Source organism: Homo sapiens, chromosome 18, assembly GCF_000001405.40.
Source record: "Homo sapiens chromosome 18, GRCh38.p14 Primary Assembly".
Lineage (NCBI taxonomy): Eukaryota > Metazoa > Chordata > Mammalia > Primates > Hominidae > Homo > Homo sapiens.
In genome coordinates, this window is record NC_000018.10 from 1,381,917 (window position 1) to 1,394,067 (window position 12,151).

The following is a 12,151-nucleotide window of genomic DNA, read 5'->3' on the forward strand; positions in this document are numbered from 1 at the left end:
GGGAGGCCGAGGTGTACAGATCACCTGGGGTCGGGAGTTCGAGACCAGCCTGACCAACATGGAGAAACCCCATCTCTACGGAAAATACAAAAAATTAGCCAGGCCTGGTAGCGCATGCCTGTAATCCCAGCTACTCAGGAGGCTGAGGCAAGAGAATCACTTGAACCCAGGAGGCGGAGGTTGCGATGAGCCGAGATTGTGCCATTGCACTCCAGCCTGGGCAACAAGAGTGAAACTCCATCTCAAAAAAAAAAGAAAAATTCTTTTCCCAGCTCAATTATAATAAGAGTACAGGCTGAATTGACATAGCTTTCTGCCAAATTCCTAGTAACACTCACATAGAGTATGTAATGTATGCCCTCAATAAGTAGTGGTTGAATGAATGATTGTATCTGGACATAACCTAGTAAAATATTAGAACAATAAAGATAAAGAAAGTTCCTTAAAGTTTCTTAATATTTTCAGGAACAAGAATTTGATTGGCTTCAGACTACTCATTTACAAAGCTAGCTGCTAGAAGACATGGAACAATACTTTTAAGGTTATGTGGTAGAAAAAGATTTCAAACCAGCATTCTAGAAAGTGTTAAATAAATAAAATATTAATGGGAGGGGGAAGACAGGATGGTTGACTAGACACAGTCAGATGGAACAGCTGCCACCAAGGGACCAAGATGGCTTGTGTACTCCTAGCAGATCTTCAGAAGGAAGGCACTGAGAGTGGATAGAGGAAAGACACAGAAGCTAGGCTGAAGAGGGAGGAAGCTGGGAACCATACAAGGGCCTACTGCATACCTGAACTTTTTCCTGGCCCTCAGTGACTCTGGGGGACCTGGTGAGTTGAACTAGCAAGGAGCAGCCCACTCTCACCATGGGCCTCTGTAACCCCAGCAAGAGGAGATCCCACAATTATCATGGACACTTGGGTTGGCAGGGAGAGCTGCTTAGAATAGTGGTAGGGGCAGAAAGCCAGCTGATGTGGAGCCCAGAGAGTTTGGTGCAGGAGTGTCTGTAGTGGGGCACGACCAGAAATGGCTACCCACTAGGCTCAACTTACTCCCAAAGGAGACTCTAATCCTAGTGGAACTGTTGGTTCTGAACTCTATAGGTCAGTCTTGCCCATCTCATGGGGCTGATCTGACCTGAGCACCTCTTGGTCTGCTGGCCTCTCCCAGGGCCGCAGTCTGGCCATGCCTGCTTGTAGGACAGCCTCAGGTGCCCTGTGGCCCACATCATAGCTTCTGCACTGTTGTACCATGCCTGATGAGTGGAGAGCTCCAGTAGGGTGGCCCCCATGGTCATGCACCAACCTGCATGCTCTTTACCAACACTGCAGCTTCCCCTTGGCCCACAACAACTCCCCACATTGCTTTGCTGGTATGTGTCTGTGTGGGCAGGTTTTTATTTCCTTGCCCCATCAGGGTGCAAGTGTGCATGTACCCCACCCAGTCACTGCTGTGGTGGGAGTGCAGTCTACCCACCTCCTCCACTGACTGCCTTTGCAGACAGAGCCTTGATGGGCACAGAGCCAGCCAGCCCCAACTCCATCAGCACCCTGCCCTTGCACTAAGACTACCACAAGAGTAAAACTAGACATAGAGAATGGCAGATCTTCCCCTGCCCTGAGTGATCACTCCTGCTTACAGTGCATAGGAAAGGCATATAGACCTGCACCTGCCAGTGCCCCACTGCTGGAGCCAACACGACCATCAGTGCAACCATGCACACAGTCACCAGCAGGGGCCCCTGCTCCCCTCCAGCTGCATTGCCTCCGCCAGTGTGGTGAATGCCCACAGGGAGGCAGGCACCCCAGCACCCACTAACACCCTGCCGCAGATGACAAGCATGCACCCCACCAATAAGCACTGCCACTACCACTGCTGCTGGCATATGCAAACAAAAATGGATCTTGCTCTCACCACACTTGGAAATGCTTTGGCTGACATTGGAGTGTAGTGACCAGTGGTATGGGAGCTGTTTGGCCTCCTCAGTGCAGTGGATTCCTAACCTTGAGGAGCCAGAGAACAAAGTCAGGGCCCAACACAAGTTCCCTAGAGTTAGAGCATGTAGTCCAGGAGTTGGGAGCTGAGTGTTGGTCCCCTAAAATTTTCCAGAAACCAAGCCAGTTGGCTGAATCCACCTTATACCACAGTCAAACCCTTGGGTCACCAAATAGGATAAAATACAAAAAAAAATCCAAAAGTCAGCAACCTCAAAAATTGAAGGAACATAAACACACAAAGATGAGAAAGAGCCAGCACAAGAACCCAGACAACTAAAAAAGCCAAAGTGCCTTCTTTCCTCCAAAAGACTGTTTTATCTCCCCAGCAGGGGTTGTGAACCAGGCTGAGATGGCTGAAATGACAGAAATAGAATTCAGAACATGGATATGAACAAAGATGACTGAGCTACAGGAGTACATTAATACCCAATCTAAGGGTGCTAAGATTCATGATAAAACAATACAGGAGCTGACAGACAAAATAGCCATATAGAAAAGAACACAAGTGACTTGATAGAGCTGGAAAACACATTACAAGATTTTTGTAATGCAATCGTAAGTATTAATAGCAGAATAGAACAAGCAGACAAAAAGATCTCAGCTTGAAGACTGGCTTTCTAATATAAGTCAGTGAGACAAAAATAGAGAAAAAAGAATGAAAAGGAATAAACAAAACCTTCAAGAAATACGGGATTATGTAAAGAGACCACACCTATGACTCACTGTGTCCCTGAAAGAGATGGGGAGAATGGAAGCATCCTGGAAAACATATTTCAGGATATCATCCATGAGAACTTCCCCAACCTATCTAGAGAAGCCAACATTCAAATTTAGGAAATGCAGAGGACCCCAACTGGATACTTCACAAAGAGATCATCCCCAAGACACACAATTATCAGATTCTTCAAAGTAGAAATGAAAGAAAAAATGTTAAAGGCAGCTAGAGAGAAAGAACAAGTCACCTACAAAGGGAAGCCCATCAGACTAGCAATCGATTTCTCAGTAGAAACCTTATAAGCCAGAAGGGGTTGGGGGCTCATATTCAACAGTCTTAAAGAAAAGAAACTCCAACTCAGAGTTTGATATCAAGCAAAACTAGGCTTCATAAGTGAAAAAGAAATAAGAACCTTTTGAGATAAGCAAACGCTGAGGGCATTTGTTACCACCAGGCCTGCCTTACAAGAGCTTCTGAAGGAAGCACTAAATACTAAATATGAAAGGAAAGACCTTTACCAGCCACTACAAAAGCACACTGAAGTACACAGACCAATAACACTATAAAGCAACCACATAAACAAGTCTGAAAAATAACCAGCTAACATCATGATGACAGGATCAAATTTACACATATCTTTACCAACCTTGAATATAAATGGGCTAATGCCCTGATTAAAAGGCACAGAGTGGCAAACTGGATAAAGAACGAAGACCCAATCACACACTGGGGCCTGTCATGGGGTGGGAGGAGGGGGGAGGGATAGCATTAGGAGATATACCTAATGTAAATGGCGAGTTAATGGGTGCAGCACACCAACATGGGGCATGTATACATATGTAACAAACCTGCACGTTGTGCACATGTACCCTAGAACTTAAAGTATAAAATAAATAAATAAATAAAGAACAAAGACCCATTGGTATGCTGCCTTCAAGAGTCCCATCTCACATGCAATGACACACATAGGCTCAAAATAAAGGGATGAAGAAAAATCTACTAAGCAAATGGAAAACAGGAATAAACAGGGATTGCAATCCCAGTTTCTGACAAAATAGACTTCAAACTAACAAAGATAAAAAAGACAAAGGGCATTATGTAATAGTAAAGGGTTCAATTCAACAAGAAGACCTAACTATTCTAAATATATATTCACCCAACACAGGAGCACTCAGATTCATAAAGCAAGTTCTTAGAGACCTTGAAAGAGACTTTGACTCCCATACACTAATAGCAGGATATTTTAACACACCACTGACAATATTAGACAGATTATTAAGAGACAAAATTAACAAAGATATTCAGGACCTGTACTCAGCACTGGGTCAAATGAACCTGATAGACATTTACAGAACTCTTCACCCCAAAACAACAGAATGTAGCCACGTGGCACATACTCTAAAATTGATCACATAATTGAAAATAAAACACTCCTCAGTGAATGAAAAATAACCAAAATCACAACAAACAATCTCTTAGACAACACTGCAAGCAAATTAGAAATCAAGACTAAAAAATTCACGAAAATCATACAATTACATGGGAATTAAATAACCTGCTCTTGTGCAAATTTTAGTAAATAATGAAATTAAGGCAGACATCTAGAAGTTCTTTGAAACTAATGAGAACAAAGATACAACATACCAGAATCTCTGGAACACATCTAAGACAGTGGTAAAATGGAAATTTATAATACTAAATGCCCACATAAAAAAGTTAGAAAGATCTCAAGTTAACAACATAACATCACAACTAAAAGAACTAGAGAACTAAGAGAAAACCAACCCCAAAGTTAACAGAAGACAAGAAATAACCAGAATCATAGCTGAATTAAAGGAAATTGATACATAAAAAACCATTGAAATGAATTTAGAGCTGGTTTTTTGAAAAAATGATAGACCACTAGCTAGAGTAATAAAGAAGAAAAGAGAGATCCAAATAGACACAATCAAAAATGACAAAGGGAATATTACCACTGATCCCACAGAAATACAAATGACCATTAGAGAACATTGTGAACACTTCTATGCACAAAAACTAGAGAATCTAGAAGAAATAGGTAAATTCCTGGACACATACACCCTCTCAAGACTGAAACAGGAAAAAATTGAATCCCTGAACAGACCAATAATGAGCTCTGAAATTGAGGCAGTAATAAATAGCCTACCAACCAAGAAAAGCCCCAGATGGATTCACAGCTGAAATCTACCAGATGTACAAAGAAGTGCTGGTACCATTCCTGCCAAACTGTTCCAAAAATTTGAGGAGGAGAGACTGCTCCCTAACTCATTCTATGAGGCCAGCATCATCTTGACACTAAAACCTGACAGGGACATAACAAGAAAAGGAAACTTTGGGCCAATATCATTGATGACCATTGATGCAAACATCCTCAACAAAATACTGTCAAACTGAATCCAGCATCACATCAAAAAGTGTATCCACACAATGAAGTAGGCTTTATCCCTGGTATGCAATGTTGGTTCAACATACACAAATCAATAAAATGTGATTCATCATATAAACAGAACTAAAGTAAAAAACCACATGATTATCTCAATAGATGCAGAAAAGGCTTTCAATAAAATTAAACATCCCTTCATGTTAAAAACTCTCAATAAGCTAGGTATTGAAGGAAACTACTTCAAAATAATAAGACCCCTATATGACAAACCCACAGCCAACATTAGAATAAATGGGCAAAATGTGGAAACATTCACCTTGAAAATCAGCACAAGACCAGGACACCCTCTCTCACCACTCCTATTCAACATAGTGTTGGGTTCTGGCCAAAGCAATCAGGCAAGAAGGAAGTAAATGGCATCCAAACAGGAAGAAAGTCAAATTATCTCTTTGTAGATGATATAATCCTATATTAGGAAACCCCATCTCAAACCAAAAGTTCCTTCAGCAGATAAACAATTTCAGCAAAGCCTCAGGATACAAAATCAATGTGGAAAAATCACTAACACTCTTATACACCAACAACAGTCAAACCAAGAGCCAAATCAGGAATGCAATCCCATTCACAATTGCTACACACACACACATACATGCACACACAAACAATATAGGAATAAAGCTAACCAGGGAAGTGAGAGATCTACAAGGAGAACTACAAAACACTGTTCAAAGAAATTAGAGATGACACAAATGAATGGAAAAGCATTCCATGCTCATGGATGGAAAAAATCAATATTGTTGAAATGGCCATACTGATGAAAGCAATTTATAGATTCAATGCTATTCCTATTAAACTGACATTGACATTCTTCACAAAACTAGAAAAAACTATTTTAAAATTCATATGAAAACAAAACAAAAATACCCCACAAATATGCAAGGCTATCCTAAGCAAAATGAACAAAGGTGGTGGCATCACACTACCTGACTTTAATTCAAACTATACTACAGGACTACAGTAACCAAAGCAGCATGGTACTGGTACAAGAACAGACACATAGACCAATGGAACAGAATAGAGAACCAGGACATAAGACCACACACCTTCAACTATCTGATCTTTGACAAACCTGACAAAAACAAGCAATGGGGAAAGGATTCCTTATTGGGAATCCATTTAGGATTAACCAAAGGGTGCTGGGATAACTGGCTAGCCATGTGCAGAAGATTGAAACTGGACCCTTTCCTTACACAATGTACAAAAAATAACTCAAAATGGATTGAAGACAAATATAAACCCTAAAAGTATAAAAACCACAGAAGACAACCTAGGCAATACCATTCTGGACATAGGCATGGGCAAAGATTTTATGATGAAGATGCCAAAAGCAATTGCAACAAAAGGAAAAATAGACAAATGGGATCTAATAAAACTAAAGAGCTTCTGCACAGCAAAAGAAACTATCAGCAGAGTAAACAGACAACCTACAGAATGGGAGAAAAGTTTTGCAAACTGTGCATCTGACAAAGATCTAATATCTCACATCTATAAGGAACTTAAACAAATTTGCAAGAAAAAAACAACCCCATTAAAAAGTGGGCAAAAGCCATGAACAGACATTTTTTTAAAAGAGGACATACATGAGGCCAACAATTGTATGAAAAAGGCTCAACATCATTATTAGAGAAATGGAAGTCAAAACCCCAATGAGAACCATCTCACACCAGTCAGAATGGCTATTTTTAAAAAGCCAAAAAATAACAGATGCTGGTTGTGGAGAAAAAGGAACACTTATACACTGCTGGTGGGAGTGTAAATTAGTTCAACCATTGTGGAAGACAATATGGCAATCCCTTAAAGAGCTGAAAACAGAACTACCATTTGACTCAGCAATCCCATTATTGGGTATATACCCAAAGGAATATAAAGCATTCTATCATAAAGACACATGCATGAGTATATCCATTGCAGCGCTAGTCACAACAGCAATGACGTGGAATCAATCTACATGCCTGTCAATGACAGACTAGATACAAAAAATGTGGTACATATACACTATGAAATACTACGCAGCCATAAAAAGAACAAGATCATGTCCTTTGCAGGAACATGGGTGGATCTGGGGACCATTATCCTTAGCAAACTAATGCAGGAACAGAAAACCAAATACTGCATGTTCTCATTTACAAATGGGCACTAAATGATGAGAATACATGGACACATAGAGGGTAACAACACACGCTTGGGCTTTTCAGAGGGTGGAGGTTGGGAGGAGGAAGAGGATCAGGAAAAATAACTAATGGGTACTAGGCTTAATACCTGGGTGACAAAATAATCTGCACAAAAAACTCCCATGACACAAGTTTATAAAACAAACCTGCACATATACCCCTTAATGTAAAATAAAAGTTAAATTTAAAAAATGTTAATCAATTGTGAGAGTAATTTCCATATATTATTAGATACTATAGGACTCTGAAAGTTTATCTCTACTCCACCTTCCTCAGGAAGATTATTGAATATATATATTGTGGCAAAATAAGGAATATGGAAAGAAAAAAGAACAAAATGCAAAAAACAGTGGACATAACCCAAGAATGAAATGATAAGAAAACTAAATAAGATAGCTTAGTAATGGATTGGTATAAACCCAAATAGAAGGTCAGAGTGATTGGAGAAAAATGTTTTAAAGAAAAACAGTATTACAGATGCAATGGACTAGTTGATCCAAATGCACCCCCCAGATACCTCTTCTTCCTCCCCAACTCCCTACCTCCAGGCAATTCTAGGGGTGACCCTAAAATACAACTCTAGCCAGTGAGAAAAAGGCTAAATTACCTTTATTCAACTTTTTTCCCCTAATAAAACAGCAATGCCTTGCTAGAAGACAATTTATTTAATTTTTAATGTGTTCTCTTCCTACCAGGAAGTGAAGCTACCATCTTGTGAATAAGAGGACCAAGAAGATGTTGAGGCTTGGATGGTGCTAAGAATAGCAGAGAAGAAGGGTGAAAAGTTCTGGGTAAATTATGGCATCATTATGCTGCTGCACTAAGCTGCAGCCAGCTCACCCCAGAAGTCTTAATATGTGATGCGAATAGACCCCTATCTATTGCTGGTGGTTGATACTAGTGGTTGGTTTTCAGTTTCATTGGTCAGAACCTCTTTCTACCTGATTCAAATGTGGATTCACTTTTAAAAATATGATTTCATCAGCTGATCATCTTAGCAATAAGTTGAAGGCATTATTCTTTCAAAAACAAGGGTAACCAGAGGTTCCTTCAAAAGCAAAAATATCTATAAAAAGTTTAGTATGAAGTTGTGGTTTAATAATGAATTGATTGAACTTTGGTGATAGAGTTTAAAATAATCCATTTGCGGCCGGGCGCGGTGGCTCACGACTGTAATCCCAGTACTTTGGGAGGCCAAGGCGGGTGGATCACGAGGTCAGGAGATCGAGACCATCCTGGCTAACATGGTGAAACCCCGTCTCTACTAAAAATACAAAAAATTAGCCGGGCGTGGTGGCGGGCGCCTGTAGTCCCAGCTACTCGGGAGGCTGAGGCAGGAGAATGGCGTGAACCCGGGAGGCGGAGCTTACAGTGAGCCGAGATTGCACCACTGCACTCCAGCCTGGGCGACAGAGCAAGACTCCGTCTCAAAAATAAATAAATAAATAAATAAATAAATAAATAAATAATAATAATCCATTTGCTAATTTTCTTTGTACATACTCTCCGTAACAAAACAAATTTGATGAGTTTGGATTTCGTTTCCTTTTTTGTGGATCCATTCACACTACTTATTTCCTCAATAAATGTTATTACACAATCATAATATTGTATTATATATATATTTTTTCACATAAATACTGAGAGAACTCATGAAGAGCATTATTATAGTTATCTGACAATTTTAAACAATGTCAAATGAAGAGATATTGCTCAAGTAGAAGGACCAAGAAATAAATCTTTAGTTTTACCATATAAATGAATAATTGTAATCAGTAAACAAAAAATATAAGTGACAAATTTAGGGAGAGGAGTGTTAGAGTAATAATGTAAGTGAGCTAATTTCCTAAACTTTTATTAAGGGAGGCAGTAGATACTTTTTGGGATTGACAGAGGAACAAATAGAGATGTAAGCATAGTATTTGGAGGTATGAAAGAGACTATTAGAAGCACTAAAAAATGAAACAATAAAGAGGATTACTTCTCAGAACCACATCTATAGATACATGAACAACTTTTGCTTATGAACTCATACCCCTTTTGTTTGATTTTTAAAATAATGCTCATGTATTACTTTTATAATAAAATAATGCAATCAAACTTTATTACAAATATAATTTAATGTGTTATGCCAGATTCAAAGGAGCTAAGCATTATTTTCTCTCTGTTAAACATTTTTTTTTTTGCATGCATGCAGAGACTAGCTGCCTGGGATGTAATATTTCCAAGAATTATTGCCACAGAGTTGGATATTAGGTTTGATCAAGAGAGGAATTCATGCAAGAATTTGAAAATGGGAGAGAAGTAGAAGCCAGTAGTACTCTGTGCCAGTGGGAGGCTGTAGCAAGTATGAGGTTTTGCCAGCAGCTTCAGGGCATCCACTGCAAATAATTTATTTCCGTGCTGCAGGCAGTTAAGATCATCAATAGTGCTTGTCTGCAATTTCTGCACTTCCTAATTTCCTGAATTCTAGAGGTAACTTTTCCTTACCTTCATTCCCTTAGCCCCTCCCATGTTTTTGTAATGTTCTAATCTCCAATATTAAATCCTTTCCTGTTCAAAATATCTAGAACGGGTTCTGTCTTCCTGAACAAAATAATAACTGAAAGATGTTTCAGTAGTTTCAAAGTATTTTAAATTTGAGTAGAATTTTAGGTGTGTGAAATTTTCAAGTTGAAACAGACCTCAGAGATCATCTAATGCTCCTTAATTTTACAGTAAAAGCACCAAAAACAGTCTACTACCCAGGTTCCTGAGAAGAAACAGGTGGTGCACTCAAATTGGATAATTTGAGTTGAGTTACGATGATAATACTTACCTAGGTGTGGGCAGGTTATTACCATCCATAGGTCTGAAGGGGCAAGGGTCAAGAGCATGGAGAAGACGTTACTTGATAAGAAGAGTAGCCTTCAGTAGAGGCATGCAGCCAACCTGTACAACTTCCAAAGGGAAGGAGCTATGCTAAAAATACCCTAGCCTGACAGTCCTCCTGCCCTTTGATCTCCTGCCAGTGCCTCCCATTGGCCGAATGAAACTGAAATCAGGGATAAAGGAAGACTGTGATGTAGTCCCTCCAGCTCCTGGAGCACAGAACAGGGTGGAAAAGTGAAGAGAAAGGCTCTGGAGGAGCAAAGAGTCTCCAGCACAACTTCTTTGAGCCAGATTGACTCTCATGCCCACTTTTTTATAACATTACATTCACACTGGGTTTTACTTAAAAAATCACACTAGGGATTTTACCCTCATAATAGGCTGTGAGAAAAAAGAAAAGATGATAAGGAAAGATAACATCTTCTTCATTTTTGTATATCTAGTGCCCAGGACAGTGCTGAAATTTAGTAAGAACTCAATAAATGTGCAATGAGCCACTTTCTCAAAGCTTATAAAAACCTAAAAATCAAAGTTATTTCAGTTATGAATATAATTATTAGTTTAGTTTTGTTAAGAAAAAAGAATTTTTTAATATTGACTTAGGGCGTTGAGGTGATAATTAATGCCTTACTGTCTCAAGATTAGTATATATTGAGTTTCACATGAGGACTTATTTCTCTTTATTCACTTAAAAAACAAGTGTTTAATAATGACATACTATGTGCCTGTCATTATGCTAGGTATAGATGCAACAGTGACAGTCTGTTGTCCCTGCCATCGAGAGTTTAGAGGCAGTCCTAAATATTTAATTCAAATTGTCTTCTTCCTGCTATCCAGCATGATTTACTGTGTTGTTAATCATTGTGTGTCTGGGGAAAGCTAATATTTGCCAAAGCAAAACATAATTTGGAAAGTAAATCTTTCTTCCCAAACCTGAAAGTCAATTCCAAAGAGTAAAGGGCACTTTTGTTTTTTTTCTAGGCTTATCTAGATTTTCTTCATTATCATTAAAAAAGGTTGACTCTGTGTGTGCACGTGTGTGTACGCGCACCTGCATATGCTCATCCCATCTGTGTGCGTTTTTATGTACATTTCATATATAAAATTTTAATATAAGCGCAACCGTTCTGGGATGAGTCAGTAAATAAGCTTAACCAAATTGAGCACTTTCCCATCTTGGCTTCTCTCTTGAGCTGTGGGATACATCACAATCTGCTTTCAGCATTGCAGTGACAAAGAAAATGCTTTTCCCAACATTCTCTCCATTGAACCTAGCAGAGAAGTGATTCACTCACTGGAAGCTGATGACCTCTGGAATGGGTAAATGATGCACACTCCCCATAAAGCTCCTTATGGCTATTCTACAAAAGCCTTGATTTTGGAATACACCTGGATGAGAGGATTGCATAATAGTTTCCAGATGTGACCATTTAAAAAATTATCCATAGAGATATTGGGATTTGGCCAGCTTTTCTTGGGCATCAAGTGTCAGGTACTATAGTATAAATATGCCACAGAATAGGTACATTTTCACATTTAGAATCCACAAAACTTCTATGAGGTGCATACTATTATTGCCTGCAGTCAGACAGGAGGGAGCTGAGGTTCAGAGATGTTAAGTAATTTGGCTAAACTGGTGCAACCAGTAAGTAGAAGAACCAGGACTAGAACACAAAACTGACTAGTCTCCAGACTTTGTGACTTTGATGAATAACTCTATTATCTGTTCTTCCCAATTGTTCTTAACTTCTTACCTCTCCTTATTCTCCCTGTTTTCTTTATTGAGGTCACTAACTTGCAAATACTTGAATTAAGATGAGAACTGCTTGGTCAGAGACCTGATTTAAGTGACAGCTCTAAAAGTGACCCAGAAGATTGTTTTAAGCTACTAGCTAACAAGAATTACAAGAATTTGTTAAAACTTACTAA

The 12,151-nt window shown here is 39.1% G+C and overlaps 1 long non-coding RNA gene across 2 annotated transcripts in view; it reads right to left on the minus strand.

Annotated features, from left to right (window-relative positions):
* The window catches only part of LOC105371954 (uncharacterized), a 29,080-nt gene extending 18,287 nt beyond the window's left edge, over positions 1-10,793 (minus strand). The window contains exon 1 of one of the 2 annotated variants that reach the window (XR_007066438.1): positions 10,170-10,793. This is a non-coding gene — a long non-coding RNA (uncharacterized LOC105371954). The remainder of the gene's footprint in view (positions 1-10,169) is intronic. The other variant, XR_007066437.1, reaches the window with a different exon arrangement.
* Between the last annotated feature and the right edge of the window lie 1,358 nt (positions 10,794-12,151).